At 37.5% G+C, this 17,462-nt stretch overlaps 1 protein-coding gene across 6 annotated transcripts in view; it reads left to right on the plus strand.

The window, feature by feature from the left end:
* SDCCAG8 (SHH signaling and ciliogenesis regulator SDCCAG8) overlaps positions 1 to 17,462 on the plus strand; it is a 244,051-nt gene that overhangs the window by 42,171 nt on the left and 184,418 nt on the right. For 3 of the 6 annotated variants that reach the window (NM_001350249.2, NM_001350248.2, NM_006642.5), the window contains 2 exons: positions 6,502 to 6,566; positions 9,778 to 9,966. In NM_001350249.2, coding sequence (NP_001337178.1) covers positions 6,502 to 6,566; positions 9,778 to 9,966 — 254 coding nt within the window. Of the gene's footprint in view, positions 1 to 6,501; positions 6,567 to 6,800; positions 7,078 to 9,575; positions 9,673 to 9,777; positions 9,967 to 17,462 lie in introns of all 6 variants that reach the window. The other 3 variants (NM_001350251.2, NM_001350246.2, NM_001350247.2) reach the window with 3 other exon arrangements.

A 17,462-nucleotide genomic window follows, 5' to 3' on the forward strand; every position in this document is an offset into this window, starting at 1 on the left:
CTAATTTTTTTGTATTTTTAGTAGAGACGGAGTTTCACCATGTCGGCCAGACTAGTCTCGAACTCCTGACCTCAGGCAATCCGCCCGCTTTGGCCTCCCAAAGTGCCGGGATTACAGGCATGAGCCACCGCACCCTGCCTTTTTTTTTTTTTTTTTTTTTTTTGAGACAGAGTTTCGCTTTTTTTGCCCAGGCTAGAGTGCAATGGCACAATCTCAGCTCACTGCAGCCTCCGCCTCCCGGGTTCAAGCGATTCTCCCACCACGGCCAGCTAACTTTGTATTTTTAGTAGAGACGGGGTTTCACCACGTTGGCCAGGCTGGTCTTGAACTCCTGACCTCAAGTGATCCACCTGCCTCGGCCTCCCAAAATGCTGGGATTACAGATGCAAGCTACCATGCCTGGCCTATGGTTTTACTTTTTGCATTTAGATCTACAACCTACCTGGAATTTATTTTTGTATATGGGGTCATAGTTTGTTCTTTTCCTATGTGTTTATACATCCAAGCACCATTTCTTGGAAAGGTAGTCCTTTGCCTTTATGATAGTACCTTTCTCCTAAATAAGTTGTCCATATATATTTGGGTCTATTACTGGACTGTGTTTTAGTTAATTGTGCTAATACTATACTGTCTTGATTGTTATAGCCTGAAATCTGGCAGACCAAGTCTTCCAACATTGTTCTTTATCCTTTGGCCTTTAGCATTTCCAAATACAGTTCAGAATTGTGAAGTTCCAAAAGTCATTTGGGATTTTGATTGAGATGGCTTTAAATTATAAATTATAGGTCATTTGAGAATCAACATTTTATGATATTATCTAATCCTTGTAAACTGCATATCAGTCCACTTATTTGAGTCATCTTTAATTTTTGTCAATAACCTTTCATAGTCTTCTGAGTGAAGGTTTCATACATCTTTCATTAGAATTATTCCTGACTTTTTATTTTTTATGCTATCATAAATGACACATATCTTCCAAATTTTTATTTTCTAACTCCTAATTGCTAGTGTAGAGAAAAACACATGAGTTTTGTATTTTGATTCAATGTCACTTTCTTTTGATTAGTGTTAGCATGGTATATCTTTTCCCTCCTTTTACTTTTAACTTTTAACCTATTTGTATCTTTTTTGAAGTGGGTTTTTATAGAAAGCATATAGTTGGGTTTTGCTTTTTTATCCAATCTGACAATATTTGCTTTTTTTTCTCCCTCCCCACACAAAGGCAGGGTTTCGCTTTTGTTGCCCAGGCTGGAGTGCAATGGCATGATCTTGGCTCACTGCAACCTCTGCCTCCCAGGTTCCAGCTATTCTCCTGTCTCAGCCTCCCAATTAGCTGGGATTACAGGCACATGCCACCACACTCGACTAATTTTTGTATTTTTAGTAGAGACGGGGTTTCATCATATTGGTCAGGCTGGTCTCGAATTCCTAACCTCAGGTGATCCGCCTGCCTCGGCCTCCCACAGTGCTGGGATTACAGGCATGAGCCACCGTGCCTGGCCATATTTGCTTTTTAATTTGGGTATCTAGACCACTGACATTTATTGTGATTATTTATACAACTCAGTTTAAATACACCATCTTGCTATTTGGCTTCTTCTTTACCTATCTCTTATTTGTTCCCCTTTACCTCTTTTTCTGTCTTCTTTGAATTAATTTTTTTTTTTTTTTGAGACGGAGTCTCACTCTGTTGCCCAGGCTGGAGTGCAATGGAATGGTCTTGACTCACTACAACCTCCGCCTCCCAGGTTCAAGCAATTCTCCTATCTTAGCCTCCTGAGTAGCTGGTAATATAGGCGCATGCCACCACACCCAGCTAATTTTTGTTTTTGTAGTAGAGACGGGGTTTCACTATGTTTGCCAGGCTGGTCTTGAACTCCTGACCTCGTGATCCGCCCGCCTTGGCCTGCCAAAGTGCTGGGATTACAGGCGTGAGCCACTGTGCCTGGCCATGAATTAATTATTTTTATGATTCCCTTTTGCTTTTTTTTGTTGGTCTGAAAAAAATCTTTAGTACCAGTATTCACTTGATTGCTCACTTCAGAAACCCAGGATTATTTTTAGTGTATTTTTCTCCCCTATATCTATTCTGTCATAAAATTCTCAGTTTTTCTCTTAAATATTTCTATACTAAATCCTTTCTTTTTAGTTCCTACTGCTTGATTGCTTTTGTTCATGTGCTTATCTCTTACCTATGTATTTGTAATTACTGGTTTCCCTTTCTTCACACTTCAATTATGATTTAAGACTCAATTCTGATAAAAAGCTTTCAGTGGCCCTCCAGTGTTTCTTCTAGAGGGAAAGTGCAGGAGACATGTGTACCAAATAAAAGTCTTGATATTTTTATTCTTCTTGTGGCCCACCTTTACCTATTTTGCCCATCTCCAATCACCTCTCCACCTCACATTTTACATTCCTGTGATACTGATCTACTTACTTTCCAAACATGGTTTGGACAACCTCTGTGCCTTCTGCTCTACTGGAAATTATCCTTCAAATCTTAACATTTCCTCTGTGAGGCCTTCTTTACTTATCTTTGGCTGAATTAGGAGTTCCTGCCTCTCTAAATTTTTCAGTTTCCATATACTTCACTAGAGCAATTTATGAACAGTTGGCCCTTGAATAAGATAGGTTTGTATTGTGTGGGTTCACTTATATGTGTATTTTTCTGAAGAAATGTACCAGAATTTTTTTTGAGATTTGTGGCAATTTAAAAAAACTTGCAGATGAACCATGTAGCTTAGAAATATGAAAAAATTAAGAAAGAGGTATGTCATAAATGAATAAAATATATGTAGGTAATAGTCTATTTTATCATCTACTACCATAAAATATACACAAATCTGTTATAAAAAGTTAAAATTTTTCAAAACTTATGTACACTATCACAGACTGTACACGGAGTCATTCTCAGGAGGAATGCAAAAAAACATAAAGATGCAGTATTAAATTATAACAGCATAAAGTAAAATGTAGTACATACTGTACTACTATAAGAATTTCATAACCACCTCCTATTGCTATTGTGGTGAGTTCAAGTGTTTTGAGTGTCTGCTTAAAACATCATGTGACACCAGTTAATCTCTGCATAAACAGTTTGTCTTTCCAGTAAATTGCATATCACAGTAAAAAGTGATCTCTTGGTGGTTCTCGTGTACTTTTCATCATGTTTGGTGCAATACTGTAAACCTTGAATAACACCATGAGGCCCATGCAAAGTGCCACTAGTGATGCTGGAAGTGCTCCCATGAAGCAAATTCATGACATTACAGGAAAAAGTTACATTGCTTGATATGTTCCATAGATTGAAGTCTGCATCCCCATTTCAAGTCTGTTGCCCCATTTCAAGATAAATTAATCCAATATAAGGACCATTGTACAAAAAGAAAAGGAAATTTGTAGAGCCATCACTGCAGCCGTGCCAACACGCACAAAAACTTTGTACTTTTGCACAATGCCTTTTTATCTGTCATGGAAAATGCAGATTTTATATGGGTACAGGATTTCTATAAGAAAAGCATACCTGTAGACTCTAATATAATTTGAGGAAAAAAAAAGTCATTTTATGACAACTTAAAACAAAAGGAAAGTAAAGGATATAAAGCTGGAGATTTTAATGCCAGCAAAGGATGGTTTGATAATTTTAGGAAGAGATTTGGTCTTAACAATGTCAAGATAACAAGAGAAGCAGCTTCTGTTGACCAAGAGGCAGCAGACAAGTTCCAAGATGCAATTATGAAAATTATTTAGGAGAGGCTGGGTGTGGTGGCTCACACTTGTAATTCCAGCACTTTGGGAGGCTGAGGTGGGCGGATCACCTGAGGTCAGGAGTTCAAGACCAGCTTGGCCAACATGGAGAAACCCTGTCCCTACTAAAAATACAAAAATTAGCTGGGCATGATGTCACGTGCCTGTAATCCCAGCTACTCGGGAGGCTGAGGCATGAGAATCACTTGAACCCAGGAGGTGGAGGTTGCAGTGAGCCAAGATTGCACCAGTGCATTCGAGCTTGGGTGACAGAGTGAGAATCTGTCTCAAAACAAAACAAAACAAAAAAAAGGACGAAAATTATTTAGGAGAAATGATATCTGCCTGAATAGGTTTTTAATGCAGATGTAAGTGCTCTACTCTGGGGGAAAAAATGTCACAAAGGACATTTATTAGTAAGGAAGAGAAGTGAGCACCAGGATTTGATGCCGGAAGGGATAGGCTAACTCTACTGTTTCGTGCAAATGTACTCAGGTTTATGATCAGGACTGCCCTTATCTATAAAGCTCCTAACTCACGAGACTTGAAGGGAAAAGATAAACACCAACTGCTAGTCTTTTGGTTGTGCCACAAGAAGGCCTGGACAATGAGAAACCTTTTTCTACACTGATTTCATTGATACTTTGTCCCTGAAGTTAGGAAGTACCTTGCCAGTAAGAGACTGCCTTTTAAAGTTTTTTGATATTGTACAATGGCTCTGGCCACGCAGAACCCCATGAGTTCAACACTAAAGGCATCAAAGTGGTCTCCTTGCCTGCAAACACAATGTCTCTAATTCAGCCTCAAGATCTAGGCAGTCATAAGGACCTTTAAGGCTTATTACATATGGGTACTCTATGGAAAGCATTTTCAACACAATGGAAGAGAACCCCAGTAGCAAGAACATCATGAAAGTGTGAGAGGATTACAGCATTGAAAATGCCATTATTGTTGTAGAAAAAGCCATGAAAGTCATCAAACCCATAACAATGAATTCCTGCTGGAGAAAACTTTGTCCAAATGTGGTGCATGACTTTATAAGATTTACAACAGTCAATCAAGGAAATCATGAAAGAGATTGTGGATGTGGTGGAAAAGGTTGGGAGTGAAGGGTTTCAAGATAGAGATCTTGGAGAAATTCGAGAGCTAATAGACACCACACAAAGGACTTAACAGAAGATGAGTTGATGGAGATGAGTGCTCCTGAACCAGTGCCAGAAAATGAGGAAGAAGACATAGAAGAATCAGTGCCAGGAAACAAATTGACATGAGATAATCTGGCAGAAGGGTTCTGATTATTCAAGACTGCTTTTGACTTCTTTTATGACGTGGACCCTTCTATAATATAGGCACTGAAACTAAAGCAAATGGAAGAAGGATAGATATCATATAGAAACATTTTTGGAGAAATTAAAGAGCATAACAAAGTGAGACAGAAATTACCACGTGTTTCCATAAAGTTAACTAAGTTTGCCTGCCTCTCCTGCCTTCCCTCCTAACTCCTGCATCTCTTCTGCCTCTGCCATCCCTGAGAAGACAAGACCAACCCCTCCTTTTCCTCCTCCAACTCAGCCTACTCAATGTGAAGATGGTAGGGTGAAGGCCTTTATGAGGACCCGCTTCCATTTAATGAGTAGAAAATACTATTTTCTTTTCCTTATGATTTTCCTAATAACATTATCTTTTCTCTAGATTGCTTTCTTGTAATAATATAGTATGTAATACATATAGCATACAAAATATGTGTTAATTGTTTATATTATTGTTAAGTCTTCTAGTCAATAGTAGGCTATTAGTAATTAAGTTTTGGGGGAGTCAAAAGTTATACATGGGGCCAGGCGCAGTGGCTCACACCTGTAACCCCAGCACTTTGGGAAGCTGAGGCGGGCAGATCACTTGAGTCCAGGGGTTCGAGACCAGCCTAGCCAACATGATGAAACCCCATCTCTACTAAAAATACAAAAATTAGCCGGGCGTGGTGGCACATGCCTGTAATCCCAGCTACTTGGGTGGCTGAGGCACAAGAATAGCTTGAATCCAGCATGTGGAGGTTGCAGTGAGCTGAGATTGCGCCACTGCACTCCAGCCTTGGTGATAGAGTGAGACTCTGTCTCAAAAAAAAAAAAGTTATACATGGATTTCCAACTGTACAGGGGTCAATGACCCTAACCTCCATGTTATTTAAGGGTCAACTGTAATTGAAATTCTTCATTTTTCTATTCCTTTCTGGGATATTTCGTAAGTTCCTTGCAGTTCAAGCCACCTTCATCTTAGATACACAATAAATATTTGTTGAATGAAAGAATAACTGGATACCAACAGAGGCTTGTAGGAGTTAGTCTATCATCATGTGATATAAAACTTTACTTTTGATCATTCATCTAGCACATATTTATTATATGTCAAATATTCAACAGCCACAATGAAGGATTCTAATAAGATTTGATCTTTGCCCTCATGGACCTTATGGGTTATAACTGTTTTTCCCCAGAGTCACACTTTTAGGGATAAGACCTGATATATGCAATTTTGAAAGACAAAGAAAATCAATTTTATGACTCAGCGGTTCTTTGCAGGCATTCACACAATAAAAATAGAAAAATTCAAGTGGACTAGGGAAAATATTTTCTAAGAAGACATGTTTCCCCCACGTTGGGTAAAAAGAAAAAAATTGAGTTTAATATTAAAAATTAAAGTTTACTTATAAAATACAGGACATAGAGAAAAATGTACTTCTATTTTTCTTTTCTATAGGAGAAGCTAAAACTTACTTATGAGGAAAAGTGTGAAATTGAGGAATCCCAATTGAAGTTTTTGAGGTAAAGTGAAATCGTCCATTTATAGTCATACCAAAAGCATAATGATCTTAAAATATATTTGAATGTTTGCTGAACTTCTAGTTTTAGTCATTATCAGACTTACTTGATGACATTTTAATACACTTTAAAAAATTTCCTCAGATTATTAAAGGATGAAAGGCCTAAAATTGAGTTCTTTTCCAAATCACGTTCCCATTTCTTCATCAGTTGTAAAATATTTGTGTTTTCTTGTAGAAATAAGAATCACGGCCGGGCGCGGTGGCTCACGCCTGTAATCCCAGCACTTTGGGAGGCTGAAGCGGGCGAATCACGAGGTCAAGAGATTGAGACCATCCTGGCCAACATGGTGAAACCCCGTTTCTACTAAAAATACAAAAATTAGCTGGGCCTGGTAGCACGTGCCTGTAGTCCCAGCTACTTGGGAGGCTGAGGCAGGAGAATCACTTGAACCTGGGAGGCGGAGGTTGCAGTAAGCTGAGACCACGCCACTGCACTCCAACCTGGCAACAGAGTGAGACTCCATTTCAAAAAAGAAAAAAAAAAAAAAGAAATAAGAATCACTAACTGCTCTTATAGAAATTATGATATTCAAGTAAAATAATGAAAATAAAGCACTTTAGTTTTCAAATTATTAGTATTTTTTCTCTGTAGATAGTCTTCATCTAATTTTAAAATTGCAATGATAATATAATAGTTTGAGTATTTGTATACATGATGAATTTGAGTATATATGATGAATATTCATGTACTTTTTATAGAATCTATTTATTAGAGATCCCAGTAAGACCTATATATTATAGATTAACCATTAGTGATTTATGTATAATGAGTAGAAAAAGACAGCAGGAATTAATATTTTTGTTGTTAAAGATTATTTTTAAATAGTAGTAATGAAGTAATTTTAAATCAAATAAACTTTGAAATATTGTTTATAATTTTATTTTAATAAGTCCAATTTGAAATTTTAAAATCTTCCAGGCCATAGCCTATCTAGAGACATAACTAGAGTAATACTAAGAGCCAGAACTCAGCTGATTGTGGTGGCTTACGCATGTAATCCCAACACTTTGGGAAGCCAAGGCGGGTGGATCATTTGAGGTCAAGAGTTCGAGACTAGCCTGGCCAATATGGTAAAACCCTGTCTCTACTAAAAATATAAAAATTAGCTGGGTGTGGTGGCACACATCTGTAGTCCCAGCTACTCAGGAGGCTGAGGCAGAATCACTTGAACCCAGGAGATAGAGGTTGCAGTGAGCCAAGATCATGCCACTGCACTCCAGCCTGGGTGACAGAGGGAGACTCCATCTAAAAAAAAAAAAAAAAAAAAAAACCGAGCTGGAACTCATAGCTTTCACTGTACATGGTTGTTTATTTTTTAAATGTTCTTATGTTTTTCATAGATTACCCTGATTAGTTTTAGGATTTCTCTTAGAGATTTTTACTTTTTTACAAAGAAATGTTAACATTTAAAAAATACTCTAATTTTTGCTTTCTTGTTTTTTGTCCTATTTTATTTTATTTTGATTTTATTTACGACTTGATTCTTTAGTTTTTAAAGTGATGTATTTCTAGATCATTGTACTTAAGGGAATGTGACTTATTTTGTCTCATTCAGAATCCAGATATTTCATCTTTAATTACATTAAAATACCAACTTGTAATGAATTAGACTTTGTTCTCTGAATCCTTCTGTTTCTTCATTTTCTTTTACTATAATTTAAGATTATTTAAAGAGGCATTTTCATAAATAAATAAAATCAGTCTTCTTTTCAACTTTCTTTTTAACTTTCTCTTTTGCCATTTCTAGTAACCAAATCTACTTGAGTGTTTTGAGTTTGGAGCTGACCAAAATTAGTAATGGGGACCCTTTGACTTTGGAATGTGCTTCCCAAGTTCTTTTTATAAAGCCTTTGAAAGTCAGACATTCCCTACATGATATTGAAAAAGAAAACTTATCATCTTGGTGTTATTATTTTGGGGATAGGGTAGACGCAGCTCATTTTTCTTCCCCTCAACTTTGGAATGCCATTCCAAAGTTTTTTTTTAACCCTTAGATTGCCTGTGGGTCTTTTATGCCTCTCCTGCGTTGCTTGAAAGCCCCCAAAATCTCAACAGTTGTCTGACAGCCAGGCTGTTGGCTTCTCCTCTGTGACAGTGAGCCAGTTAAGATGGCCACAGCACCTGAGCGTGGAGACTTTGACAATGACAACAGAGAGTAGACAGAGATGGAGATAAAGTTCCTGCCTTCAGTAGTCTCATTTTTCAGCTAGAAAGTTTTTTTTTGTTTTTTTTTTTTTTGAAGTACAAAAGAACCATCTAGGCAAGGAAGCTCAGTTGCCAAGGTGACTTTAGCGCAGCTTTACTGGGATAAGGTAGGAAAATACAACCCATGTACTAGTCAATTAATCCTTAAAAAGTCACCTTGGAGAAAAACCTCATCCAGAGGTGAGCTGATAAAGTAAAAACAAACAAAAACTACACCCACACCCACACCACCCCCACCCCCACCATTCCCCAGCCCTTTCTTTAGCAGCCTGTATGTTTCCAGCTAATAGCTACTACCCCTGAAATCTTATGACTGGCAAGTTCTATGTAACTTCCTTCTGTAACTTACTTTCTTTTGAAACAGATCTTTGTAGAAGTTTGTCGTTAGATAATTATCTATCTAACAGTAATGTTTTCCTCCTGAAGAAAAATGGGCAGTAATAAACTAGTCAAGGATAAAAATCCATGTTTTTTTATGTGAACTTTTAAGACACTCTAAAAATTTTAAGAGATTAATGCTTGAAATAGGGTATTTTCCTCACCTCAAGTATGTTGTCTTATATTACCCCACCCCTTTTTTAAGGAAAATGATTTGGGATTTATATTTGGAGTTTTATTTTTGTTTTGTGGTTAATATAACATTAATGGAGGTTGGATCCTGGGACAAGAGAGCCAGTGTCAGGCGGATTCTAATCTATATTAAAATCTTACAAGAACCTAAGCTAATTATGTAATTTATTCCAGTCTCATCATATTCAACGTGTCAATTAGAATCACCACACCAAAGTTTCAGGGTCGTGGTAAAAATTAATAAGGTATTGGACGTAAACTAAAGCATAAGGTGAGTACCCATAAACGATAGTAGTAGTTAACATTATGATGATTCATTTTAAAGTCATGTAATTTTACCTGGCCATTTTCTAGAATTTTTTCACCCTCTTTTTAGGAACGACTTAGCTGAATATCAGAGAACTTGTGAAGATCTTAAAGAGCAACTAAAGCATAAAGAATTTCTTCTGGCTGCTAATACTTGTAACCGTGTTGGTGGTCTTTGTTTGAAATGTGCTCAGCATGAAGCTGTTCTTTCCCAAACCCATACTAATGTTCATATGCAGACCATCGAAAGACTGGTTAAGTAAGTATGCTTCTACGCGCACGGAGACTTTGGCAATATGGAAAATTCTGCCTTTAAAGGGGCATTGTGTTCTTCTAGCCCTATGCTAAGTCACATGTGATTATTGTTAATCTTCAAATACAGTGGATTTTAAAAGGTTCCTTCATTATAGCTTCCTTGAAGACAAATGGGTGGGTTCTGCCATGTCACCATGTCACTTTGAACAGAAACCATGCCACTTTGAACAGATAATAGTATCTCTTGGTTTCAGTCCATCTTCAAGTGAGAGAATTGAACTAGACAGTTCTTTACGATTCTGTCCAGTTCTATGAATCTATGATTACAAATCTAATACTATTCTTAGCAAAACTGAGTGTAATAGAAATTCCTTTGGTTTTGCCATATCTTGGATTTTTCTGCTGTACTTCAGGTAGAATGAGTTATTACCACATCTTCATCATGTGTCTGTTGTAAGGAGTATTATAAGGACCCACTGTATCCCACTATTGATATTTGAGGGTTAACTGAGAACAAGTTACAGATGACCTTTTGTGTTGTCCAAGTTTTCGTCTAAGCTGAGTGAAACAATTCTCTTCGTACATCTGTTTTGTTGTTTTCACTATTCCAGAGGAGGCCTTTTCCTGTGAAAATTTTATTCTGTGGAAATTGAGAATTATTATGTAATATAGAACCCAGTGGCAGTTTATAGTGTATGTTCTTCCATGCCCCCTACTTTTCTTTGTGCTCAGTGTCACCTCTCTCTATCTGCTGTGCTCACTTAAATAACCCCAGATCACTTCCTTTTAGAAGAAGTCTCTCATCAGCTCTGCCCCATTTTGTCCTCAACTGACTTAGGTTCCTTTCTTCTGTGGTCATTAAGGTCAGACCGATTTTGCTCCATGTCCTGACCTTCAACAAATTCCTTTTCTTCTCTGAGCCTGGCATCTTCTGTTGTTTGGAGGAAAATACCTGCTTCTTCAGATTTAAGACCTTTTTGGGATTTTACTAAGGCAGGTTAGCCTGTGACCAGAAGTACTGCTTTTGAAACTGACTGCTTGGGTTCATATTCTGGTTCTACTGCCAACTTACCATGGAACCTTGCAAAAGTTACTTAACCTTTTTGTGCCTCAATTTTCTCATTTTTAAAATGGTGACATAAGTACCTAACTCATAGAGTTACCTTGAGGGGTCACTAGAGAAAACCTATATAGTACTTAAAACACTTCCTGACATATAGTAAATGCTCAGTAAATATTAAAACCATTCTGTACCTTCTATACTCCCAAGAATGATCAATATGTCTTCTAGCTGTGATTTCCACACATGGCTAACTCACTCAGGTTGGGGGTGAGTTGCTGTTGTTTTCGAGTTGGGGTCTCACTCCTTTGCCAAGGCTGGAATGTAATGGCACAATCATAGCTCAGTGCAACTTTGAACTTCTGTGCTCAAGCGATCCTCCTGCCTCAGCTTCCTGAGTAACTGCGGACATGTGCCGCCACACCCAGCTAATTAAAAAAATTTTTTTTGGTAGAGATGGGGTCTCACTATGTTGCCCAGGCTGTTCTTGAACTCCTGTGATCCTCCCACCTCAGCTTCCCAAAGTATTGGGATTATAGACATAAGCCACCACACCTGACCTAACCTACTAATTGTTATATGAACATAGAATTTCCAGTGTGGACTGACTGGTAGTTTTTTATGTTTGTTTGTTTTGTTTTTGTTTTTTGAGACGGAGTCTCTCTCTGTTGCCAGGCTGGAGTGCAGTGGCGCAATCTTGGCTCTCTGCAACCTCTGCTTCTCGGGTTCAAGTGATTTTCCTGCCTCAGCCTCCCGAGTAGCTGGGACTATAGGCGCCCACCACCATGCTTGGCTAATTTTTGTATTTTTAGTAAAGACGGGGTTTCACCATGTTGGCTAGGATGGTCTCGATCTCTTGACCTCATGATCCACCCGCCTTGGCCTCCCAAAGTGCTGGAATTACAAGTGTGAGCCACCACGCCCGGCCCGACTGGTAGTTTTTATGACCTATACTGCTTGGTTCTGTTTTTGTTAAGTATTTTAAGTATTCAATATGTTGTTAATTTATTCATATAGTCTCAATATAACTATTAAACATGTATTAACTATTTTCAGATACAACTAAAAAATGTAGTAAACATTTATTATATGTCAACGACTGTGCTAGGAGATTTAAGAACATCATTTTTAAAAATCTTCAAGCGTTCATGAGGTACATATTATTACCCCCGTTTTATAGCTAGGGAAATTGGGGTTCAGAGAAGTTAAAAATTTGCCTGTTTATATTTGAAAAACAAGAACAGAGCTGTACCTTACAAAAATAAATTCATGGTAGTTTAAAGGCTCAGATACAATTCAGACTATAAAAGCATTAGAAATAAATATAAAAAATATCTTATAATTGTGGGTTATAGTCCTAAGGATGACGTGAAAAGTGGAAGTCATAAGGGAAAAAAAGATACATTTGTTTCTATTAAAAAATAAATTCCCTTACAATAAAACATTACATATTCAGTTAAAAGGCTGAGAAAAAATATTTGCACTATACATGACAAAAGACCAATAGAATAAATTTCCTTTGAAACAAACAAAAAGGACAAGCTGCCTAGTTGCAAAGTAGGTAAAGAATAGAAATCAGTGAGCAATAAAAGAGGAAGATGTCAGCATATGAAAATGTATTTATTCTATTAGTATTTGAGGAAATACAATAAAAAAATTAAAGAACAACCCGTCAGACTGACAAAATAGAACAAGATTGATAATTTCAAGAGTTGGTGAGGTCATGAGTACACAAGTATTTTCACTCTGCTGGTGGGTTCATAAATTGGTGGAAATACTTTGGAAGTAAATTAGTCCTGTCCATTCATATTCAAATTGTGCACTTCACTTTTCAAAATCTACCCTCAAGAAAAAACTCAAGTACATGCATAATGGGGTATGTATAGGGAATGCTTTTTGCAGCATTGTTTATAATTATGTGAACAACCTAAATATCGTTCAAAGGAGAGTAACTAAACATGGTTTAGATAAACTATGTCATTTTGTGCATAGTATGAAAAACGGAAGTAGTTCTATGTGTATTAATGTTGGACCATCTCCAAAATATATTGTTGCAAGAAAACAAAACAAAATGGCTAAAGATAAATCTAGTATGAAACCTTTTGTATTTTTTAAGTCCATATACAACCATACTACATTTTTCCCCTTCGAGGTTCATAGATATGCACAGAAAAATATTTGAAAGTGTAAACACTAAATATTTAACAGAGATAACCACTAGAGAGGTGGACGAAGGCAATGAAATTGAAAGGGTGTCAAATAGGCCTTTAACAATATTGGTAACTAATTTTGCAAGGAGAATATAATTTAAAAATTAATTTTAGAAAGAGGAAAGCATATTAAAAGTTGCAAATAAAAAGAGGCAGAGCTTAAAACTAGGTAGTCTAGCAAAACTAATAAGCCAGGCATAGTGGCTCATGCCTGTAATCCCAGCACTTTGGGAGCCTGATGCAGGAGGATCACTTGAGGCCAGGTGTTTGAGACCAGTCTGGGCAACATAGGGAAACCCTGTCTCTACAAAAAATTTAAAAATTAAAAAAAAAAACTCAGCCAAGAAATAACAAGTTATTATGTTGCCTTTTATATTATCCTTCTAGATTATGAAAAAATATTTTTAAAGGAAGCTATAATGTTTTGGTTACTTCCAAGCCTGGCAGTCATTCAGAAATTAAGATTCTTGATCAGTTATGTATTCCTTTGTCTCTATCCTAAATTTGAGCTCTTAGCCTCTTAAAGTAAATGTCAACCTACTTAGTTCAATTTTCTGCCTTGTCAGCATATCATTGTCTCATGTTCTGCATTAATGACAGAAAGGATATTAAACCTATTAACACTGAGCGGATTCTGCTTTTATTGTCAATGAATTCTTCTTCTGTATCATTCTCTTGGCCTAACTTAACTAATGCAGAGTGCTGAATATTGAGTGCTATGCTAACTTTGAAGAGTGTCCAGCACCTTTTGGGTTTGGATTTCTAGTTTTATGTATAGTTAGAAGCCTGCCCCCTCCATAAGCTGTTATCATATTACCTGAATGACTTTAACATGGAATGTTTAAAAATGATACCTTAAATATGATAAATCAAAAGTTTCCTTGTAAATGTGGTATTGTGACAGCAGCTTTCAGCTCCTTTGTTGCATCCTTTAGCATTTACTATTTTGAATATATATTCATGAAACAAGAATGGCTTGATGGCCAGGCATGGTGGCTCACACCTGTAATCCCAGCACTTTGGGAGGCTGAGGCAGGTGGATCAGTTGAGATCAGGAGTTTGAGACCAGCCTGGCCATCATGGTGAAACCCCATCTCTACTAAAAATACAAAAATAGCTGGATGTGTTGGTGCACGCCTGTAATCCCAGTTACCTGGGAGGCTGAGGCAGGAGAATTGCTTGAACCTGGGAGGCGGAGGTTGCAGTGAGCCAAGATTGCGCCACTGCACTTCAGCCTGGGCAACAGAGGAAGAACCTGTCTCCAAAAAAAAAAAAAAAAAAATAATGGCTTGTACAGTTGACAAGGAGGGGATCAGGCATGACTTGGAGACCAGGCCACCCATATGTTTCTGGTGGTTTCTTAGGACTCAAGGACTTTTTGGAGAATATACTTAACAACTATTGATGACATTGGATATATTTTTTATGTTGATTTGAAGTCTTCATATTGTTTCCGACCTTTCGCCTTTCACTTGGCCTCTTTATGCCATAAGGGAGGTAAGAGTAACAGTAACCTCTTTTTCTTGCTTAATGATCAAAGTACCTTCACATGGTAACCAAGATGGAACTGCTTAAATTCCTTTCTGTAGCTCACAGTACCTTGGAGAAGTTTATACTTTTCAAAAAAGAGAAAAGATTCCAAGGGTACTTTTCTGGGGCTTTAGTCCAGCTTGTGATTTTGGAGTGGATCATTGGCCTGCTCTGCATAGCTGGCTTTAAAAGACTACAGCAGGAACTTCCCAGAAATGAGGAACAAAGAAATGTTGTAGTCAGCCTTCTAGACTTTCTTTTTAAAAACGGTGTAGTAACACTTATTAGTGATACCTAATAATGCTTAAAATTAATAATAACTGGAGTAATTTAGAAATTATAAGACATTTCTTAGCCACTCCACATTTCAAGGTGGAGCTCATGCATATACATTAGACCAACTCTTTTGCTTAAACACTTGGCTGAGATTGTTAAGGGACTTTCTCAGTCCTTTTGGCCCTGATTGCTGCGCTAAGTTTCTTAAATATTACATGCTCATTAGTGCGTGTAAGTACATGCTTTTCACCCCAGAACACTCATGATCTTTACGTCATCTTTCTGCCTCAGCTGCTCTTTCATCTGGATCATGGAATGTTGCAGGGTTAACACAGTGTTGCTGGCTTTGCGTCAAGAAGCTCCTTGATTACATTCATCAACACATTCACATGGTGTTTCCAAGCACTCATAGAACATTTGCCATGGAGGATGGTAATTTGGAGAACTGCCCTTTCACTCTCACATTGATATGCCACATGTGTCTGTACAGCTTCCCATTGTGAGAGCCTCATTCAGGTGTGGCTCTGGGCTGGACCTGTGGATTGCGGGATCTAGAGCAGGACTGTAGCTAACTGGGCAGTTACCCTGGGTGGCTGGAATCGGCTGTTTCTGAAAGGCAGATTATATAAGTAGCACTGTTAGTCCCAGGGGATAAGTGGGCTAAAAAATGAAAGCTCAGACAAGATGAAGCCAGATGGCCACAGGAATGGAGTAGGAAGCAAGGCCTTGTGTTGAGGAGAGGGGACTGCCAGCCCAGAGCTCTTTCTAAAAAAATTATTTGTGGGGTTGCTTGCTGCTATTTGTTATGTGGACTGGCTGAGTCAAAACAAAACCAAACCAAAACCAAGATTTAGTAACACCTGAGTGAATGAGTAGATAATCCTAAATTGCCAAAATGACTACCTACCTGCAAGCTTCCCAGGTGGGCTCAAAGCTACCTTGAAGCATGCGTTGCATTTGCCTTACAGAAAGGAGGAGTGTGTCAGCCCAGTGGTTACGTGGAGTTTGAGTGTAATCGTTTTGTGGTCTCACTGTTGAATGATGGGCCTAACAAGACATCTGTATATTGGAGTTTTATCTTTGATAATTTTCTGTGGTTCCATAGTCTAAATTTGGTGAGTTAATATTCTGAAACACTTTTGAACCAGAACGACTGAACTCTAGTTTCTAATTCAAAATAGGTAATGTTTTCAGTTTAGATCATGAAATATTAGAACTGAGAGGGAGCTTTACCTCACCTCTTTTGACACCATCCTATAGCAGACTCTTTATTCATTTATTTGTTTTCTTGTTGTTTATTCTGTTGAGCATCTACTGTGTGACAAACACTACTCTTGACAAGAGGATATTCTGAAAATAGATAAAGTCTATTAAACGTAAGTTTCCCATAAGCAGCAAGTTTGTTAGATTTTTATCCTGTTGTGGATCTGTCTGTTTGCATACTTATAAACACTGAGCTTTTTTGATCATTCTTTTTTGAGATGGAGTCTTGCTCTGTCACCTAGGCTAGAGTGCAGTGGCACGATCTCAGCTCACTGCAACTTCCACCTCCCAGGTTCAAGCAATTCTTGTGCCTCAGCCTCCCAAGTAGCTGGGACTACAGGTGCGCACTACCACACCCAGCTAATTTTTGTATTTTTAATAGAGACAGAGTTTCAGCATGTTGGTCAGGCTGGTCTGGAACTCCTGACCTCAAGTGATCCGCCCACCTCGGCCTCCCAAAGTGTTGGAATTACAGGCGTGAGCCACTGCGCCTGGCCTTTTTTGTTCATTCTTTTTCCTTGGAACTTTGGCTTTGGTGACTGCATGGTATCAGGAACAGATAAGAATCTCATTGAATAGTTACTTTTGCTCTTCATTAAGTCTTAGTGATTTAAGAAAGGTGACTGTAAGATGCCTATATTGACTTGCTGTCCTTAAAGAGTGAATTTTTCTTTTCTTTTAGAATCATAGATCCTAACTGGATTGCATATCCTTGATAAAGCTAGACCCCTTTTACGTTATAGAACTTTTATGGAAATGCAAATAGACACATATTCAATTTTGCTGGTGTTTATTTTTTTACTTAACTAGGATAATTTAATCTTGCCTTGATTCTTCCACTTTTTTACATAGTAATTGTGTTTGATTATATTCGATTAAAACAATTTACTTCTTTTTTCATTTCCTTGGAAGAAAAATTATTTTTATCAATTTAAAACAAATCAGGAAATTCTAAAGTGAAGATCACTCTGCTTCCATGAATTTTATATTTGCAGCAACTTATTCTTTTTTAAACAAAAAGGGCTTTTATGAAACTGCTAATAATTGTAACTTTGTTCAGTATTACATGTTTCTTCAAATGTGGCTGCTTTCCAAATACCACAAATAGTTTATTTTACCTTTAAGAGATGTTTTAAATTGAATCATTGGTTAATTCTGAAA

This window comes from Homo sapiens, chromosome 1 (assembly GCF_000001405.40).
Source record: "Homo sapiens chromosome 1, GRCh38.p14 Primary Assembly".
NCBI classification, from domain to species: domain Eukaryota; kingdom Metazoa; phylum Chordata; class Mammalia; order Primates; family Hominidae; genus Homo; species Homo sapiens.